The following is a 22,447-nucleotide window of genomic DNA, read 5'->3' as shown; positions in this document are numbered from 1 at the left end:
AACTGTAAAAAACTATTTAAAATAAAATGGATACCTTTAGATAATTTGTCTAGAAACACTTGGAATATAAAAATGAAGAAGTATGTCTAATCCATTGGAAGACACACAATTGGTTCATAAAAGTGAATCTCCCGATTTCTTTGCCAAATTCCCAGCTTAATAATTTAGTTTATGATACTACAATATTTGACTTAAATTCTGAGATAAAACAAATTTGATTCAAAATGGGAAAATAGGAACAAGACCTGCTTGGTAAAATTTTTGTGTTCCATTTAACAAACCATATATTTAAACTGATGGTAGTAGCTGAATTAAAGAACTTCAGTTAAACTTTTCTCCACCCACTATAAGTAATTTCTGATACATTAATTTTATATATTTAATCACCATAAAATAAGATGACTATCTCATATTCTTTTTTTTTTATTATTATGATACTTTAACTTTTAGGGTACATGTGCACAATGTGCAGGTTAGTTACATATGTATACATGTGACATGCTGGTGCACTGCACCCACTAACTCGTCATCTAGCATTAGGTATATCTCCCAGTGCTATCCCTCCCCCCTCCCCCTACCCCACAACAGTCCCCAGAGTGTGATGTTCCCCTTCCTGTGTCCATGTGTTCTCATTGTTCAATTCCCACCTATGAGTGAGAACATGCTGTGTTTGGTTTTTGTCCTTGCGATAGTTTACTGAGAATGATGCTTTCCAGTTTCATCCATGTCCCTACAAAGGACATGAACTCATCATTTTTTATGGCTGCATAGTATTCCATGGTGTATATGTGCCACATTTTCTTAATCCAGTCTAACATTGTTGGACATTTGGATTGGTTCCAAGTCTTTGCTATTGTGAATAGTGCCGCAATAAACATACATGTGCATGTGTCTTTATAGCAGTATGATTTATAGTCCTTTGGGTATATACCCAGTAATGGGATGGCTGGGTCAAATAGTATTTCTAGTTCTAGATCCCTGAGGAATCGCCACACTGACTTCCACAATGGTTGAACTAGTTTACAGTCCCAACAACAGTGTAAAAGTGTTCCTATTTCTCCACATCCTCTCCAGCACCTGTTGTTTCTTGACTTTTTAATGATCACCATTCTAACTGGTGTGAGATGATATCTCATTGTGATTTTGATTTGCATTTCTCTGATGGCCAGTGATGGTGAGCATTTTTTCATGTGTTTTTTGGCTGCATAAATGTCTTCTTTTGAGAAGGGTCTGTTCATGTCCTTCACCCACTTTTTCATGGGGTTGTTTGTTTTTTTCTTGTAAATTTCTTTGAATTCATTGTAGATTCTGGATATTAGCCCTTTGTCAGACGAGTAGGTTGCGAAAATTTTCTCCCATTTTGTGGGTTGCCTGTTCACTCTGATGGTAGTTTCTTTTGCTGTGCAGAAGCTCTTTAGTTTAATTAGATCCCATTTGTCAATTTTGGCTTTTGTTGCCATTGCTTTTGGTGTTTTCGACATGAAGTCCTTGCCCATGCCTATGTCCTGAATGGTAATGCCTAGGTTTTCTTCTAGGGTTTTTATGGTTTTAGGTCTAACGTTTAAGTCTTTAATCCATCTTGAATTGATTTTTGTATAAGGTGTAAGGAACAGATCCAGTTTCAGCTTTCTACATATGGATAGCCAGTTTTCCCAGCCCCATTTATTAAATAGGGAATCCTTTCCCCATTGCTTGTTTTTCTCAGGTTTGTCAAAGATCAGATAGTTGTAGATATGCGGCGTTATTTCTGAGGGCTCTGTTCTGTTCCATTGATCTATATCTCTGTTTTGCTACCAGTACCATGCTGTTTTGGTTACTGTAGCCTTGTAGTATAGTTTGAAGTCAGGTAGCGTGATGCCTCCAGCTTTGTTCTTTTGGCTTAGGATTGACTTGGCAATGCGGGCTCCTTTTTGGTTCCATATGAACTTTAAAGTAGTTTTTTCCAATTCTGTGAAGAAAGTCATTGGTAGCTTGATGGGGATGGCATTGAATCTATACATTACCTTGGGCAGTATGGCCATTTTCACGATATTGATTCTTCCTACCCATGAGCATGGAATGTTCTTCCATTTGTTTCTATCCTCTTTTATTTCATTGAGCAGTGGTTTGTAGTTCTCCTTGAAGAGGTCCTTCACGTCCCTTGTAAGGTGGATTCCTAGGTATTTTATTCTCTTTGAAGCAATTGTGAATGGGAGTTCACTCATGATTTGGCTCTCTGTTTGTCTGTTATTGGTGTATAAGAATGCTTGTGATTTTTGTACATTGAGTTTGTATCCTGAGACTTTGCTGAAGTTGCTTATCAGCTTAAGGAGATTTTGGGCTGAGACAATGGGGTTTTCTAGATATACAATCATGTCGTCTGCAAACAGGGAAAATTTGACTTCCTCTTTTCCTAATTGAATACCCTTTATTTCTTTCTCCTGCCTAATTGCCCTGGCCAGAACTTCCAACACTATGTTGAATAGGAGTGGTGAGAGAGGGCATCCCTGTCTTGTGCCAGTTTTCAAAGGGAATGCTTCCAGTTTTTGCCCATTCAGTATGATATTGGCTGTGGGTTTGTCATAGATAGTTCTTATTATTTTGAGATACATCCCATCAATACCTAATTTATTGAGAGTTTTTAGCATGAAGGGTTGTTGAATTTTGTCAAAGGCCTTTTCTGCATCTAGTGAGATAATCATGTGGTTTTTGTCTTTGGTTCTGTTTATATGCTGGATTACATTTATTGATTTGCATATATTGAACCAGCCTTGCATCCCAGGGATGAAGCCCACTTGATCATGGTGGATAAGCTTTTGGATGTGCTGCTGGATTCAGTTTGCCAGTATTTTATTGAGGATTTTTGCATCAATGTTCATCAAGGATATTGGTCTAAAATTCTCTTTTTTGGTTGTATCTCTGCCCGGCTTTGGTATCAGGATGATGCTGGCCTCATAAAATGAGTTAGGGAGGATTCCCTCTTTTTCTATTGATTGTAATAGTTTCAGAAGGAATGGTACCAGTTCCTCCTTGTACCTCTGGTAGAATTCGGCTGTGAATCCATCTGGTCCTGGACTCTTTTTGGTGGGTAAGCTATTGATTATTGCCACAATTTCAGCTCCTGTTATTGGTCTATTCAGAGATTCAACTTCTTCCTGGTTTAGTCTTGGGAGAGTGTATGTGTCGAGGAATTTATCCATTTCTTCTAGATTTTCTAGCTTATTTGTGTAGAGGTGTTTGTAGTATTCTCTGATGGTAGTTTGTATTTCTGTGGGATCGGTGGTGATATCCCCTTTAGCATTTTTTATTGCGTCTAGTTGATTCTTCTCTCTTTTTTTCTTTATTAGTCTTGCTAGTGGTCTATCTATTTTGTTGATCCTTTCAAAAAACCAGCTCCTGGATTCATTAATTTTGTGAAGGGTTTTTTGTGTCTCTATTTCCTTCAGTTCTGCTCTGATTTTAGTTATTTCTGCCCCTGCTAGCTTTTGAATGTGTTTGCTCTTGCTTTTCTAGTTCTTTTAATTGTGATGCTAGGGTGTCAATTTTGGATCTTTCCTGCTTTCTCTTTTGGGCATTTAGTGCTATAAATTTCCCTCTACACACTGCTTTGAATGTGTCCCAGAGATTCTGGTATGTTGTGTCTTTGTTCTTGTTGGTTTCAAAGAACATCTTTATTTCTGCCTTCATTTTGTTATGTACCCAGTAGTCATTCAGGAGCAGGTTGTTCAGTTTCCATGTAGTTGAGCGGTTTTGAGTGAGTTTCTTAATCCTGAGTTCTAGTTTGATCGCACTGTGGTCTGAGAGATAGTTTGTTATAATTTCTGTTCTTTTACATTTGCTGAGGAGAGCTTTACTTCCAACTATGTGGTCAATTTTGGAATAGGTGTGGTGGGGTGCTGAAAAAAATGTATATTCTGTTGATTTGGGGTGGAGAGTTCTGTAGATGTCTATTAGGTCCGCTTGGTGCAGAGCTGAGTTCAATTCCTGGGTATCCTTGTTGACTTTCTGTCTTGTTGATCTGTCTAATGTTGACAGTGGGGTGTTAAAGTCTCCCATTATTAATGTGTGGGAGTCTAAGTCTCTTTGTAGGTCACTCAGGACTTGCTTTATGAATCTGGGTGCTCCTGTATTGGGTGCATATATATTTAGGATAGTTAGCTCCTCTTGTTGAATTGATCCCTTTACCATTATGTAATGGCCTTCTTTGTCTCTTTTGATCTTTGTTGGTTTAAAGTCTGTTTTATCAGAGACTAGGATTGCAACCCCTGCCTTTTTTTGTTTTCCATTGGCTTGGTAGATCTTCCTCCATCCTTTTATTTTGAGCCTATGTGTGTCTCTGCACGTGAGATGGGTTTCCTGAATACAACACACTGATGCGTCTTGACTCTTTATCCAATTTGCCAGTCTGTGTCTTTTAATTGGAGCATTTAGTCCATTTACATTTAAAGTTAATATTGTTATGTGTGAATTTGAACCTCTCATTATGATGTAAGCTGGTTATTCTGCTCGTTAGTTGATGCAGTTTCTTCCTAGTCTCGATGGTCTTTACATTTTGGCATGATTTTGCAGCAGCTGGTACTGTTTGTTCCTTTCCATGTTCAGTGCTTCCTTCAGGAGCTCTTTTAGGGCAGGCCTGGTGGTGACAAAATCTCTCAGCATTTGCTTGTCTGCAAAGAATTTTATTTCTCCTTCACTTATGAAGCTTAGTTTGGCTGGATATGAAATTCTGGGTTGAAAATTCTTTTCTTTAAGAATGTTGAATATTGGCCCCCACTCTCTTCTGGCTTATAGAGTTTCTGCCAACAGATCTGCTGTTAGTCTGATGGGCTTCCCTTTTGTGGGTAACCCGACCTTTCTCTCTGGCTACCCTTAACATTTTTTCCTTCATTTCAACTTTGGTGAATCTGACAATTATGTGTCTTGGAGTTGCTCTTCTCGAGGAGTATCTTTGTGGCGTTCTCTGTATTTCCTGAATCTGAATGTTGGCCTGCCTTGCTAGATTGGGGAAGTTCTCCTGGATAATATCCTGCACATTGTTTTCCAACTTGGTTCCATTCTCCCCGTCACTTTCAGGTACACCAATCAGACGTAGATTTGGTCTTTTCACATAGTCACATATTTCTTGGAGGCTTTGTTCGTTTCTTTTTATTCTTTTTTCTCTAAACTTCCCTTCTCGCTTCACTTCATTCATTTCATCTTCCATCACTGATACCCTTTCTTCCAGTTGATTGCATCGGCTCCTAAGGCTTCTGCATTCTTCACGTAGTTCTCGAGCCTTGGCTTTCAGCTCCATCAGCTCCTTTAAGCACTTCTCTGTATTGGTTATTCTAGTTATACATTCGTCTAAATTTTTTTCAAAGTTTTTATCTTCTTTGCCTTTGGTTTGAATTTCCTCCTGTAGCTCGGAGTAGTTTGATCATCTGAAGCCTTCTTCTCTCAACTCAAAGTCATTCTCCGTCCAGCTTTGTTCCATTGCTGGTGAGGAAGTGCGATCCTTTGGAGGAGGAGAGGTGCTCTGCTTTTTAGAGTTTCCAGTTTTTCTGCTCTGTTTTTTCCCCATCTTTGTGGTTTTATCTACTTTTGGTCTTTGATGATGGTGATGTACAGATGGGTTTTTGGTGTGGATGTCCTTTCTGTTTGTTAGTTTTCCTCCTAACAGACAGGACCCTCAGCTGCAGGTCTGTTGGAGTTTGCTAGAGGTCCACTCCAGACCCTGTTTGCCTGGGTATTAGCAGTGGTGTCTGCAGAACAGTGGTTTTTCATGAACCGCGAATATGCTGCTGTCTGATCGTTCCTCTGGAAGTTTTGTCTCAGAGGAGTACCCGGCCATGTGAGGTGTCAGTCTGCCCCTACTGGGGGGTTCCTCCCAGTTAGGCTGCTCAGGGGTCAGGGGTCAGGGACCCACCTGAGGAGGCAGTCTGCCCGTTCTCAGATCTCCAGCTGCGTGCTGGGAGAACCACTGCTCTCCTCAAAGCTGTCAGACAGGGACATTTAAGTCTGCAGAGGTTACTGCTGTCTTTTTGTTTGTCTGTGCCCGACACCCAGAGGTGGAGCCTACAGAGGCAGGCAGGCCTCCATGAGCTGTGGTGGGCTCCACCCAGTTGGAGCTTCCTGACTGCTTTGTTTACCTAAGAGAGCCTGGGCAATGGTGGGCACCCCTCCCCCAGCCTCGCTGCCGCCTTGCAGTTTGATCTCAGACTGCTGTACTAGCAATCAGCGAGACTCCGTAGGCGTAGGACCCTCCGAGCCAGGTGCAGGATATAATCTCGTGGCGCGCCATTTTTTAAGCCCGTCGGAAAAGCGCAGTATTTGGGTGGGAGTGACCCGATTTTCCAGGTGCCGTCTGTCACCCCTTTCTTTGACTAGGAAAGGGAACTCCCTGACCCCTTGCACGTCCCGAGTGAGGCAATGCCTCGCCCTGCTTCGGCTCACGCACGGTGCGTGCACCCACTGACCTGCGCCCACTGTCTGGCACTCCCTAGTGAGATGAACCCGGTACCTCAGATGGAAATGCAGAAATCACCCGTCTTCTGCGTGGCTCATGCTGGGAGCTGTAGACCAGAGCTGTTCCTATCCGGCCATCTTGGCTCCTCCCCCAACTATCTCATATTCTTTACTTCAGGGGGTATCTGCATGCTTTTTCTTGGTTAAGAAAACTAGAATTTTTTTCATTACTTGTCCCACATATATGCATATATACATGTTCAAACATGAAAACAAATATGTGTGTATGTGTACAGAGCTATAATGCATTTGTGTATATTATATGTGTTTATATGTAAGAATATATTTCCATTGATGTATAAATATAAAGATAGAGCATTATGTTGTATTCACCCAGAAGTACTGCACTATACATTGGCAATATAGCATCTTCTGGAAACTCCTCCCAGCAACATCCCATTTCAAGAAGAAACTCAAGAAAATGATCCAATACTTTGTTTTGCACAAATCAATAGTGTTATATGGCTATAAAAAATGTGTTCTGTAAAATTTTTCCAACACACGATAATATCAAGGAATTCATTAATTCTCAGTTAATTTAAATTTGATTTTCAAATCCAATTAGAACTATGAACTTCCCTTTCTGAAGTCAAAAAGAACAATTAAAATATATGCATAATTTTAAGTCAGATTTGAGACAGCCTCCTCTTTTCAAATACATGTATGATCATGTAATCAAGATATTAGTCTATCTTTTTCTTTAGGGTTCTACTGAATATTTATTTATTCATTCAGTCAGTCAACAAATACTCAATTAGCACCTGTCAGTATCAGGCACTCTGCTAGGTACCAGTGATAGAAAGGGGAACAGGGACAGGTTCTGCTCTTGAACAGCCAAAGCAGGTGCTTACGTAAGTCTACCTGAGCATTTTGGCAGCTTAGAACATACCATTCTCAAGATTCATCATAGAATCAGCTTTTGCTATGTTGCATTCTGTAACCCTTCTTGAAAATCAGCAATATTAAAGGCTCTGACCCGTTTTACAGTAAAGAAATCTGTTTTATCTTCTGTATTCCAGTTTCTTAAATTTATTTGACTAGGTAATATTTTTCAGCCACATAACCCTATTAACATCCATTGAACACACTTTGAAAAATACTAAAAGCTTTGTAAATTCCCTGTATAAAATCAATAACTCTTTTATAACAGAAAAACAGACATATCTAGCATTGCTTTCACTTCACAGACACATGCTGATTACAGTATTTGTAAACTGACAAACACTGATTGCTTGATAATGGGCTCTACTATTTTTCCAGCCAGTGCTGAAGTATGGGAGTTATCTTGAACAATCTATAATTTTAAAAATCATTATTTTACTAAAGATGGATCTACTTAATTTTTACTATCCCTTAGGTCTATCCTTTGTCCTTTTCCAAAATCAAGGATTATTATACTTGTGTCTCAGGTATTTAGTTAAGTCTTTAATGGCAATGAATCTGGACATATGAATTTGGGTACATTTTGATAAATGTATGATTTTTTTCTTGGTATTACAGGCATACATCTTTTTAGTATTCTAGTTTGGCTTTTGATTGTTCCTGTCAGTTGTTTACATCTTTATTGCTTTGAAAAGAGAGAATGTTTGAGATTGTAAAAAGTGAAGGAGTAGAATTAAAATGTTTCTTTAAAATGACAGATATTAGGTACTAGGAAGACAGAAGTAGTACAATAAAGAGAAAGGTGAACTTTAGGGAGTAGGCTCTATGGACTTTGAAGCAACACGGCATAGTGTTTTAGAATGAATCTATAATGAAAGTGTCTGACTGCCAGCTTAACCAATCCCTATCAGTGTGACCTTGGGCGGGGTATTTAAACCTCTCAGAACCACAATTTCTCATCTGTAAAATGGAGATATTTATGATATTGGGAATTTGCTATTTGTTAAATACTGTTCTGAGTACTTCCAGTTTCACTGCTGTTAGCAACCTATGAAATAGGTGGTAGTAGTATTACAATTTTATAGGTAAGGACAGTAGAGTGATGTTAAATCCCAAAAAGCAGAGTAGAAAGCTGCTATTTTTTGCCTTCCCTGCATTTTTCTACATTTTTCTGGTCATCACATCCCCACCACTATTACTTTGAAAGCTCCGCTTTTCCCACTAGTACCCTTCCTTTCCCTAGACACAGTTGGAGAATTGACCAAACACAAGCTGACCAGATTTTCTCTGAAATTAGATTCGCAAGCCCAGGACACCAGTTGTTGCTACACCCAGCCCAGCACCTCTGACTCTTTCTTTTCTAAAGCCTGGATCTTCAGCTGTACTTCTATTACATGAGTTACCAATTTAATGACATGAGTTAGTAAATTTAATTTTTCCATGAATGGTCACATTTTACTCTGTTGTATACAACTGACGTAGACTAAAAAATAATAACCACCAGCTTGGCTAAAATTCCAATTCTAGCCCATGAAACCTTAAAATATGGAAAGATCATTGGCTTTCTGATGAAGCAGCCTCACAAACATGGTCTCAGGCAGTTAAGGGCAGAGGCAAGCACTGTACCAATAACATACAAGGTTTAAGAGGTTTTGTTTTGTTTTGACTTAAAGTATTTCAATATCCCTGTGGCTATTAAATGATCTATTCCAATCATCATTCATATAAGCAGTAAGAGCTGTTGAAGAAAAAAAAGGCACGGGAAAATATTTGGGGAGTAACAAGCTAAATCAACAACAAAATGGATAAAACACAAGAATAGATCAGTCAGAATAAGTCTGAAAGGATTAAGGGCTCACAGAGAAAAAGCATTTGAAATGTTACTTCAATCTTTTTAAAGTCAGTATAAACAGGGTAGGATGTTCTCTTGGGTTTTAAAGGCCAAAATTTTCTAAGGAATTGATGAAGTAATGTTTGCCAAAAAAGCAATTATGCAAGCAGCTAGACTGAAAAGTAGAATTTTTTTTTTATAATTAACCTGAGTCAAAAGAAAGGTATAGTCTCACACATTTTTCATGATGATGTATCAGCAATGTGCGATATAGTTGTACTTTGATGAGTTTAAAATACTGACCAGCCAGTTTTAATAACTGAGTCATTATAAGGATTAATTTACCTAGATTTAAAATAGTTACTATATATTTATAAAAAATGGAATTTTTATCCTCCGTGCTCAATCAGATCAATGTCTTAAAAGCAAGGTAGAGAGCTTTGAAGCTGTTCCTATCATTATCAGTATCTTCATTTTTATTAAGTCTGTCACTGAACTAATAATAGATATTAATAAGACTTTCTCTATGATCTTCATAAGTCTGTTTTAGACAATACCATAAAAAGGAAATTTAAGTCATTAACTAATGTTTACATGCAACTGATATCAGGCTCCAAGACACTTTCAGGTTTATAACATCCATGAAACAAAAATCTATTTACAAAAATGAATTTTATAATATACATAGTTTTTAAATTGAAGTAATAAACCACACTAAATAACTAAAGTCAAGCACATATAGAAATAGTATAATGGTTCATAATACATGTAAAATATTCTTTTCTGCATCAGATTTTTACATTTAAATCTTTTAAAATCCTGCATTGGGCTAATTAAATATATTTAAAATCAAAGCTTCCAACTGTACCTCCTTGAAACTCAACATCAAATGAAACTACCTCATGACAGCAGAGAAGTGGCAATCAGAGATTTTTCTCAGGTTGGTTGTTGGTCTCTCCAACTATTTACCAAGATTCGGCTTAAATACTGATCTTTAGGGAAGACTTTCTTGATTCACCCTCTCCTCCACAGTAGAGGGTTAACTTCCCCGATTGCACCTCTCAAAAACATCCCATGCTTCTTCTTTAAAGATATTAAAACAAGAAATTAAACTACTCTGTGTGTGATTATTTGCGTAAGGAACATTTTTATTACAAGTTTCATGGGAATCCAACTGACTGCTTTATGGCTACATCTGAAGAAGCCAGCACAAAGCCTGGCACCTCGGAGGCACTTAGGAAATACTAATCTAAAACAGGAGGGAGCAATAGAAGGTATGACATGGGTCAAATCTAGGGAAGGCAAACTTAAGACAAAAAGAACACAGGGAGAAAGGACACCGGGGCCATACCACTGAAATGAGACAACATATCTCACTGTATGTGAACAAAAAGATTGCTGTTTCAGCTTATTCTGGCTAAATGATTCATGAAGGAACCCTAACCAAAATAAAATAGCAACTCAAGGTCTTCTTGGTAAAGAAAATAAAACTATTGCAAAGTATAAACAAAAGTAGAGATTGTCACTTAAAAAAATCGATTAAATCATTTACTTTCAAAGGCATATTTCAAAATCTTTTGTCATAAAAAATATAGCAGAAAGGAAGTGATACAGGCAAAATGATCTTATATTTGTCAAGACTAACTGCTCAAATTTAGTCTATTATTACAAAATCAGTTTTAAATAAGATTAAAATATGAAGGTCACAATAATGTTACAGTAAACATGAATTTCATTCTTTTATTTTAAAATTTAAAGACTATCTTTCTATTTCTGATTTACTCTTCTTATTAGTATGTTGAGTTGTACTTTTAGAATCAAAGATAATCCAAGAACTCAGCTGTATAATTAGATGCAAACAGCATGATGTGCTAATTTATGCCTTTTAATTAAACAAGATAAATTAAGACTTGAAATACCAATGGAACGAATGGAATAAAAAATAATATAGTGTATGATGTATTACCATACAGGGTTTACATTTAACCAATTACCTCTCTTATTACTAAAAATCTATATAGAAATAGAAATACGCAAATACTATAAGACTGTGAACAGCCGCAGATCAAATGACCACCTATGTAATACTCAGTAAATTATCCTCAATGCTTAGCGGTATGTCTACCATATAGTAGAAGCTCAAGAAATATTCATTGGTTGAATAAGTGAATGAATATTTCATTTCTAATCTGGGTCCATCTGTGAGCAGTGTGGTCTCTCTGTAAAGCTGTTGGCTTAAACAAAGTCCAAGAATATAGTTTATATTCCAACTATATTATAACATTTTATTTAGGAAATTAAAAATAGAACACTGAAGAAGCCCAGCTACTGAGAATAATCTATGATTACAGCAGATCTCCTAAGACTGATTCTATCTGGACCACCTTCCTCATACTGTCCTATTTCCCAATGACTCACTCTATGACTTGCCAGAAGAATGAATTATGTCAGAAACAATACATGTTACAATCAGAGCATTTCTAATCAGCTCCAGAAGAAATCCCATATTTACTCAATAGGCACCCTGACCAGTGAAATCTTCTGGCAAAAGGAGAAAATTCAGGATGCTGAAATCATAGAAATTACCATTAAAAACAATCTTAAAAGACCTCTTGAGCCCTACTCTTTCACATGAGGCAAAAGTCAAGCAAATAAAATAAATTGTCACCAACTTTTTACAATGGCAGATATTAGAGGACCCACTGGTTACAGATATCTTCGTAGTTTCCTTCATAACTGAATGAGCAATATGGAGTTCAGGATAGCTCTTCCACTGAGTGTTGTGCCATAAGCAGGAAGCAGAAATACTTGAATAATCAGTTTGGCCCTGGTTCAACTAGTACCATTTAATAACCAGTCAGTAATTTATTCTAAGACTCTGTAATTTGAGAGATATAAATACTGCTATTAAACTACTGGTGTGCAATGTTAACTACCTTTGATATTTTTGACATAAAACACCATACATGACTTAAAGTCTCCAACCAAGAGCCCAACTAATTAAGCAAAATTAAGGGTGTCTCTGTGTGTGTGTACGAGTATGTGTGCTTCTGAAAAGATAATAAAGATCAGGTCTCTAACTATAGCAGAATTATAGCACAATTCAGGATCAGACTGTTTGACAATAAATTCCAGCAGGTTCTTGGCTCTTATACTCCCCTAAAGAAATTTTTTTGAAACGAGGCCTTTACTTTTACTGGACAAAGTTGAAATATTCAATTTTATTTTGCATGACTTTCCAAATAGGCATGATTTTTCAAACAGACCAAAATCTGTTTGGCCATTGATAGGGAGTCCAACATCAGGGAAGTATCAGAACCTGTTTTCTTCTCTTTGTTGTGTCATTATTTTTGAACTGCTGCCAGGTTCTTCCTTGGTCTGAAGGGCCCAAAATGTAATATTATTGAATTTTCCCATCTGTTTAAGGAGAAGTAGAGATGTACACTGCAAATTAAAGTACAGAAAACCACATTTTTATTTTATATGTTATAGGAATGGTAGATCTGTGCTTTAAAATCAAGTAATTTCCTGAGTGGCAGGCTTTATTTTTCTGAGGTAACACAGTAAAACATAATATAGGAGTAGTGTCAATGGGAAAAAATGGTACATCTATAATACATTGTTCCATACATTAGAGAGAGTTGATATAGCATAACAACAGTACTAACTGTAAAATGTTAATAAATCACTTTATTTTATATGAAGTAGAATATGATCAAAACAGCACTAAACAGTGACTTGATTTTGTTCACTGGTCTTTTCAAGTGTTTCTAGAATGATACAAGGAGGCTAAAATAGACATAATATCTCAAGTCCTAATCTCAAATTTCTGAAATTAAAAAAAAATTCATCTAGTTTGGGCAAAAAAAAACAAAAACAAAACAAAAAAAAAGCATGCTACAAATCTGCAGCTGGTTGTAGCACAGAGCTGTTTCAGAAGATGAATTACTTGAGATGATTGGGATTTTAGCTGATGCAGAAACAAGATAAAATGTAATTTGGTGTACCAGCTAAGGCGTTTAAAGTCTTTCTATTACATGGGGAATTGCTCTCCTTTTACCAAGAAATGTTACTCCTCTATGTTTTTCTAACTGTAAATAAGTTACATGCTTAGCTTTTTGACTATTTTCATTGCATAAATATGTCATAACTTATTCATCCATTCTCTTATTAATGGCACTGAGATATTTCCAAAGTTTTGCTGCTACCGTCGTTACCTTTTGTACACATCGACAAATCTCTCTAAGGTACATATACGTGTGTGTGTGTGTGTGTGTATATATATATGTTCACACATACACCATGTATATATGTGTGTGTGTATGTCCATGTATATATATTTTAAACCTTTTGAAACTGCCATTTTTATAGGTCAAAAACGAAAACTGTAAAAGTCAAGTATCAGCAAGCTCGGATGGTTCAAACTAGTACTTAGAAGTGGAATTGATGGGCCACTTCAAGATTACTGGGTTTTTCCAAATTAATCTCCAAAATGATTTTGCCATTTACATACACATTTTAAATTTATTTTTATTGTATTTATTTAAGGTATACAACATGATCTTTTGATATACATAGTGAAATGATTACTACAGTTGAGCAGGCTTCAAAGTGACCCTCCTATCCTGCACACCCCCAACCCCAACATCTTGCACTCCTCCCAGACTCGCACCTGGACAACCAAACCCTTGGTGTTCTTCCACCTCTGAGAGTATTGTCGAGTGTAAGGGGCAAGTCTACCTGAATTTGGACCTTTCTACTTTTTGGTAAGGCCTAGACTTTGTTCAAGCTCTTCTTTCCAATCCTCCCTTTATAGAACAGAGGTGTCTGTCTCTGCCTACCTGCAGGAGATTTGGGTTTAAGGGAAAGAAAGAGAGAGAGAAGAACGCCTTCTTCACCTCTGCTTCAGGACAGGAGGTTTGGGTCACAGTCACACAAAGGGCTCAACAGAAAACTTCCGCTTTCTCTGCCTCTGTCTCACAGCAGGAAGGCTGGATTACAGTGCTGGCAGTAAAGCACCACAGGTTTCACTCTTTTCACCTAAAATTATATAGCGTGCTTTAGAAATTGCAGCTGCTTCCTATTGCTTTTAATTTGGACTTGTCTTTTAATTAGTGACCAATTCTTGTTAGTTTCAAACAGAAAGATGAATGAGAGTGAGTTCTCTCATTCTGAAATTAAGAGGCATTTGCTCCCTCTGGCCCATTCAGATGCTGTAAGTGACTAGAGACTATCCAGCAATGCCAAGACGTTTGTCCATGAAGCTCGTATCAAAACACCATGTTGTATACCTTAAGTAAATACAAAATAAATTTAAATACATATAGGGCAAAACCATTTTGGAGATTAGTTTGATAAAATCTAGTAATCCTAAGGTCACCCCTCAATTCCACTCCTAAAATGTTACTCCAACATGCCCACAAAGCATCACTTTGCCTGATACAGTGTCCTAGCCTTGGTCACTTTTTGAAAAGGAAATTCTAAAATTTATGAGAAACTCCTCCTCAAAACTGAGCTTTCCCTTAAGGTACAACCCTCTCTTGGAAACATTAGCTGGTTTTATGTATAACACCTATGGAGCTTCCGTCTTGCAAATAACCTAGGTAAATGAGACATTACTTGATATGACCACAAAATGCAATAACCAAGAATAAGGGTCTTTTGAAATTCCAAAATTAATATATTTGCAAACAGAAATAGAAAAAGCAGGTTTAGAACATAATGGGATGGGAGGACTGCTTTCTGTTTGTCCTGGCTAATACCTGAAAATTAGAGATTTGAAAGTTTTTTTTTTTTTTTTTTTTTTTTAGAGAGAGAGAGCTCTCCATGAATTCCCCAAGAAAGCCCTTAAATGCTCAAACTGCCTACTTGACTTAAAGGCTTCCCCAGGTCTTTTTCAGTCCCTTAGAGATGTAAATCTCACCCTCTTACACTGTCTTTGAAGTAGTAACATCCAGGGAATTAACTAAGCAGAATTCCAGCTGAGGTATAATTTGAAACAGAGTTAAAGTTATTTGGACCTACCACAAAATTCCATTTCTCAATGGATACCTTTAGCTCAGAAGAAAAAAAAAATCATAAGATTTAAATTATTCATTTTGAATTATTTGTGTGACTCTCAACCTTTTGTAACCCTTCCTACCCCCATCAGCAGCTTTTATTTTGCTGTTTTACCATCTCTTTTAATCTTCCATCTGGCCTTTGTGGGTAGATGGCCAGCTGAGAAGCTGAGATCCCAGAAAACATGGCCTAACAGACGTGGGTTTCACCCAACTTGTAGTGAACAAAACTTTCCCTTTTTTTAAGCTGTTTTTGGGAGGGGTCAGGATCTTGCAAGCACTGCAAATTTTTGCTCCCTTTTTAGAGACCTTGGGTAAAGCCATAACGAACTTAATCGTTTTGGTATTATATATGCTTACTTGTGCTGGTTTTTAGTCATTTATTCAGGTATGCCTTTGACTTAAAATTTTGGTTTATATTTAGAATGTGATAGAAACTTTTTTGTTGCTTTGTTTGTTTAGCCTACTCTTCTAAGCTAAATAAATCCGTATACTCAGAAAGAAAGGACCCAGTTTATTAAAAGAAAAATTTTAGAGACAAATGGCTTTAAACAATGATTACCATAGACCTCTAATAAACAAACATGCCCCACGTCAAAAATTCCTTCTTGGTGTAAATTTCAGACAGGAAAAGCCAAGACACAGTAATGCTTGTTATTTGCCCAGTTAAAACCTGATAAAAAAATATTTTTTAAGAGCTTTATCGTCAAAAGTCAACAATTAAAAGCTGACATTTAGGCTGTGTATGTACATATATATTTTTGAGGCCTCTGTTCTATGGAAGCTTCTCAGTCTACTAGGAATTCCTTTCTTCTTAAGCCCCTGATAATTCTGTGCACTCCTTCTGTTTGCTCCTCCTCTGGATATGATTTTTACCAAGAATAATGTAAAACTTTATTGGTTTTTCAGAAGACAAAATCTCAAACAGGCTTCTCCAAGACTTGTTGTTTCATTTACTTCTATCTGTCCCTCCTTCCTCTTGCCACCTTAGATACCACATGAGGGGACATAAAGAAATCTTCTAACATCTCGGGAACCTCTTAAAGAAAACAGAAAAGGTTCCACAGACTTTCCTCTTTTTTGGGGGGACCTCTGTTCGACCTCATGGAGCCCCAAGAATTGTGGGTGGACAGGTGCCTCTCAGGTCTAAAGTTCTACTTTCTTTTACATTGAACCCCTTGATCTCCAGCTTTTAGATGAATACATGCCTACATGTGTATATGTTGTCTCTATATGTATGCATATGTCTACACATGTGTTTATGTATTGTCTACATGGTACCAAATTAACTTAAAGATAAATTAGTGCTCATAAAAGTAATAAGTAAGCTCAAATATTTTTCAAGTTCATGTGACTTGAATAAATCTTTTGGCAAGGAAGACTAGTTTAATATTGCTGATTTAATAAAAACAACTATGTATCTGAGTTATTAGCAAAATACACATGTATTTAAATTTAAGGTTCTTGCTTTTATGATACTTGCCTAATATGCAATAACATAAAAATGATTAATAGGAAATGTAACTTGGGACAATGGTTAAGTTTATCTAATAACTCATGAAATTTTCCAAATATAATTGTTAAGAATGAATAAATTAAGTAAATGTAAATAGGATAAAAATTTATAAATGAACTTTTAATAATTAGATTTTATAATATGTCTACTTTAAAGGTTTCTCAAATCTTTGTTTTGGCAAATAAGGTTTCCCAAATCTTTTGGTAACTATACCATTAGAATTTTGCTAAACTAATTTAAATGAATGATATTCATTGAACATCTAAGTCATTTCCAAATAAGATATGATGCTAAGACAGTAATTACTAAATATGAGTTTAAGTTTATATACTTTTAGCTTCTTATTTCAGAGAAACAAAAGATATTTAGATCTGTTAGTAAATATGTCCTGCTCCACATTGAAAAATTGTTCCATTAGAAAGCTTTCATTTCTAAAATTTATAAAATATGTATTTATAAACTCATAAAGTATGTGACTAAGAGTTAAACACTGCTTGCTTCTTAGGTTTTCTATATGAATTTAGGTTATTAAAAGTTACAATTCTAACTAATATACGAGACTAAAGCTAGACATAAGAAGTAAAACAATTCTGTATACAGAACATACGAGGAATTTAAGACATGTTTTATCAAGGAGGTTATAGAGTATGAGAATATGTTTTTGTTGAGAAAAAGAGTGATTTTGTCTAGATTACAGATTATTTGAAGATTGTCCAGAACAAATGAAAGAAGAGAAAAAAGTGACATGAAACTTAATGGATATAGAAAGTTTGGAAAAGAAAGATAATAGGAAAAATTACAAGAGGTTATAAAAGATTTATGAAAATCCTATCCTGTTGGGTCAAAGCTGATTGCGATTAGATGGATATGTTTATAAGGTTTTATTAAAATTAGCTTTCATATTAATAATAAACTAGTATAAGAGTAAAACTTGGTTTTCTTTCTGAAGTAAGATTTTCATGAAGTATTAATAAGATATAACCAAAGACTTTTTTTCACTTTTTGAGTAAACTACAAAAGAAAAAAAATGATCAAATTTCTTTGTCAACTGCATCTTTAGTCATTGCCATTTTATGTCTTGTCCTATTCCTTCTGGAGGAGTTTCTTTTAAACTGCACAGCAACCAAGGAACCCATTTCCAGGTCATGTAATTCAATCTATTTGTAATATGTGACTGATTTTTAAGCATTCCCATAGCGCATACTACCCTCAGTCTTCCAGACTGTGGGAACACACAAAAGGGGTAATGAAAAATCAATTAACAAAGCTTATAGAAAGTTTTAACCTTCCCTGGCTGAGGTTTCTTCCATTAGAATTGCGTAATTTACCTTCTATCCCATTTTGGAAACATCTGCATTCTCCCTTTAAAATAATAACAGGAAAGCCCATGTGGCTGATTGAAGGAGTCTACAAACCAACGCTCCTGAAAGGCAATATTCTTCATTATTGCCAAGGCCATATCAAGCTGTTAATGAAAAAAATAATAATTAAAGATTTTTAAAACACTGAGCTCTTGGGAGACAAAGACATCACAGATCATGGCTTCCAACCTGGAGATTTTGTTTACTGGAAACACCATCAAATAAAAGATTCCTTCCAACCCCATTGGAAGGGGGCCATATCAGGTACTGTTGACCAATCTTTGTGACACTAAACTGAAGGGCAGTGTCTCATAGGATATTTGGTCATTCCTCTATCTATACATAGCTCTGAAGAAATCCAACACTAAACTATTTCCCTCAAATTTTTCTCTAGGCCTGGCTGCCGATCTATTTAAGACTGAGATTCTATTTGGGGGAACCTGCTAAGTATCTGCCTGCCCGTAATTCTGCCTAACAAGATAGCTCCATGCATTTCATTGGGAGAATGCTTTTGCCTTGGTTGGGTGTTGCTTTCCCCGAGCATATACTTGGAAATATTCCTATAAATGTAGGATATAGCTAATGAAACAGCTTGCCTCAACTGCAGCTCAACAAACAGCTGTGGGTTCCCTGGTTAAGGTTGTACAGACAATTGCATTGCTATAGATCATATATGTGTTGAAGAAGGAGGTGTATGTATAATGGAAAATACCTCTTGTTATGTATTCATAAATACTTCCCATGAAATAGAAGCCAGGAAAAATTAGAAAAGAAGCCACTTTGTTACAAGCTTCTAAAGAAGAACTGGGATATAATTTTCTTCATAATGTTTTTAGTTGGCTCCCTAATGGAAAAGGTTATTTTTTGTTCTAGCATACAAATTCCTTTTTATTATAATTTTTTATACATTTTATTTCTACTATTTCAATTATTAAAACTGTATATCTTTCATTGTTTTACTTCTTCTGAGAAAACTAAAATCACAGTATTCTGAAAACTAGAGATGATTCAACAAGTAACAGTAGCCTTGTAAATTAATGTCTTGACTGAGGTCTTATTTCTGCCGCTCTGTGATGTCATCCCAACTCGGCTTTGGGGCACTCTTAAAATTTCTCACTGAGATGTCTCCTTCTCCCCACCAACATAGGACAAGACCATCCAAGAATGAGCCTTCCCAGAGATGGTGGCAACTTGATACTCAGACTTTGCCTATAAATGCTTTTGAGAAAAAAAGATTTTGATCAAAAAGGGGAAATGAGAAAGAAAAAAAACTTTTGATCTGAGGAATGTAAACTTCCTCTAAATTATCAGGCCCAGAGAGGCATAGGAATGAGACAGCAATCACATCCTACTCCCCACCCTTGAAATAAGTAATCCTCTCTAGAAGCTGCTTGCTATGTAAAGTCTTGTATAGTCAATCACTAGTCAATGTCATTTCCACAAACCAATGAGAATTTCTGACAAACAACTTTGTATCAGCCCACTTCTCATACCTCTCTTTGCATTTAAAAACCTGCTTTTAACAAAAATTGCATGGAGCTCATATCCATGTTTACTTGGGTGTGAGTCTTAAGAGTAGCTGCCCTCATTTCGGCTCCAGTAAACTCTTTTAAATTATATTTTGTGTCTCAGCTTCTTCCTTTAGGTTGAGGCATTTAAATAAGTTAGCATATCTATAACCTTTCATAGCTACATTTTATATGTGTGATAAGAGCACATAAAATCTACTTTCTCAGCAAATTTTCAGTATACAGTATTATTAACTTATGTATTCATGCTGTATTTTAGATTCTAGACTTATTTCTTTTATTGAACTACCATTTGGGACAACATGGATTAAACTGGCAGATATTATGCTAAGTAAGCAAAAATACAGAGAGAAAAATACTGTATGATATCACTTATATGCATAATCCTTTAAAAATGTCAAATACATAGGAACACAGAGTAGCATGATGGTTACCAGGGATGGGGAAGGGATGGAAATGGAGAGAAGTAGGTGAAAAGATATCAATTTATGTTTTGTCTAAATGAGTATTTAAAGAAAGTTTTGCTTTATTTAGTTCTTCTCTGCAAAATGATTACTCTTCCTTAATTCACCAAGAAATTGCTTCTTCCTGTGTGTTGCACCACAACTTACACACACTCTCTCTCTCCCTCTCTCTCTCTGCTGTATGTCTCTGTGATTAGATTTCTAACTGCATCATTTCTTTTTTACAGTACACTTTGCAATTACAATCTTCTACTTTTCTAGAAGTTTAATACCATAATTTTGTTAAAGGGAACAAACAAACTACATGTGTATAACAGAGGAGATGTCTGATATAAGAATCATCAACAAGCCTTAATCTCTAAGATCTGGATCTAAGAATTTGGATGATGGTCAGAAAGACAACATACAAGTATCTTTGTCTGGGGTCATTCCCTACACCATGGAGATTGCTCTAAACTCTTCTCTAAAACTAGTGCCCCCCTTTTGACAGCTCAGGCTGAATGTTTCTCCTTGTCAAAATCTTTTTAGGCCTCCAGTCAGACTTGAGTCTCTGCCTCTTCTGTGCCATCAGAGCAACTGTGCATGTGCCACATTTCTGTGTAAGCAACTTTATTCCTCATATTTGAAGCACAAGGTTATTATTTCTCCTTTGTGCTTCTCCAGGCACCTAATGTCTGTCTCTGCCATTGCCTGTAACCACCTCTCAGTAGACTGTATGTTCTTACACCAGCTTCCCTTTGCCTGTGGTTCCTTTGTCTTTCTATAGCCAACACTGAGCACCCTCATACTTAAAAGACAAATAATAAATGTGTGTACCTTAATTATTCTCCTTCACATCAACTTTGCAGCATGAGCCAACCACTGTTCTAACATGGGAGTGGCGTCAATTTTAATGAACAAAGTAGAAAAATCTCTGTTCTCATACAATTTACATTCTGGTTAGACGAGATGGCTGATAAATAAACCAGTGAGTATATAATGTCTCAGATCATAATGAGTGCTATAGAGAAAAATAAAATGTGCTCAATAAATTAATGAAGTTTCTGCTTCATTGTTCCACTATAGATTATGAATTACATAAAAGCAGAGAGTGGGTCTATTTTGTTCATTTCTGAATCACTAGCACTTAGACAAGTACACCTGACTAAATTGTTGGCTAAGTTAATGAATGAAGGACATTCATGTAGTCCTTAAAACATACAAGATGAGGATAAAAAAAATTTTTTTAAATCTGTTTACAGATTCTAGATTTATTGGGAATCCAAATCCAAATGGAGATAGTCCAGCTACCCCAAACATAATCTCAACAGGCATTTTGCCTGCATCTAACTCTGTAGTTCAAAATGAGTATGCTCTGTGCCCATCTCTAATTGTCAACGTGTAAAATATTTTGGCCATATATACACACCATTACCCCTATGATCTTTAAATAGAACCTTGACCATGCTCTGCGGAATAGAGTGGAGGTAAAAAACATACCATGGTTCCAAATAAATACTGCATCCTTCCTACAGAATGTTTAAACATTGTCTCCTAAGTGCATTAGAAAGCACATTTAAGGCAAATAGTTCCATTCTAATAGTGACTTCATGTAAAGAATTAACAAATTCATATGATATATCTATGACCTGGCCATGGCAGACAATGCAGTATCACTATGGTGATGACACTATAAATATTACTGATTTTATTGTTTGGAGAATTTTAATCTATTCAAGTACAATGACAAAATAATTATTATATAAACTGTCACAAATTCAAAAATAGTATATGAATCCTCTTAAGTTGCTCCATTCTCCAATCACCCCAATATTCAGATTAGGTGCTTAGTAGATGAGAGAATTGCACTTCGTGCAGTAAGTCTGTAGGATTTTCTGAAAGACTGTGCATACTTAACTACAGACATCAGAGTGTGACTTCTCATAGAAAGCAGATGCAGCACTGCTTTGCTGGATGAGGCATCAAGGCAGATGAGATGTAAAGAATAGAACAGGTATGAGAAAGTAGTAAACTGACAATAAGCACACTGCATGAATTTCTAGTCTTCAACAAAAATAATGATGAAGTAAAGCAAAGCCTATCTTTCTTCAGGGTGGTAAGATCTATGAAGAGAAATCCCAATATTTTGTCCTTTGTTTTCAAAGCAGGGGTAACCATTCCCTCCTAATTCCCAGAATGAGACTGCATTATGAAGTGAAGTTTGACAATTCGAAAAAATTTATTCAAAGATTCTAGTTTTTAATTAATGCATCTAATTGGAACAAGACATTAATTTTCCTCATAAGACTTAGCTACACTATGTTTCTCAATTAATGATCAATT

General features: G+C 36.2%; 1 protein-coding gene across 7 annotated transcripts in view, besides 2 other annotated features; it reads right to left on the bottom strand.

Moving 5' to 3' along the window:
• NAV3 (neuron navigator 3) overlaps positions 1 to 22,447 on the bottom strand; it is a 641,149-nt gene that overhangs the window by 552,470 nt on the left and 66,232 nt on the right. The window lies entirely within an intron of this gene.
• Positions 13,932 to 14,494: an enhancer, noted in NCBI's record as "NANOG hESC enhancer chr12:78039827-78040389 (GRCh37/hg19 assembly coordinates)". NCBI's record gives its function as "activates a minimal SCP1, AML or CMV promoter by ChIP-STARR-seq in naive H9 embryonic stem cells {active_cell/tissue: H9 hESC(naive)}" and the evidence as "EXISTENCE:reporter gene assay evidence [ECO:0000049][PMID:30033119]".
• Positions 14,819 to 15,627: an enhancer, noted in NCBI's record as "OCT4-NANOG hESC enhancer chr12:78038694-78039502 (GRCh37/hg19 assembly coordinates)". NCBI's record gives its function as "activates a minimal SCP1, AML or CMV promoter by ChIP-STARR-seq in primed H9 embryonic stem cells {active_cell/tissue: H9 hESC(primed)}" and the evidence as "EXISTENCE:reporter gene assay evidence [ECO:0000049][PMID:30033119]".

Source organism: Homo sapiens, chromosome 12, assembly GCF_000001405.40.
Source record: "Homo sapiens chromosome 12, GRCh38.p14 Primary Assembly".
NCBI lineage: Eukaryota > Metazoa > Chordata > Mammalia > Primates > Hominidae > Homo > Homo sapiens.
Note: the sequence above shows the minus strand (reverse complement) of the source record. Positions and strands in the feature narration are given on the sequence as shown.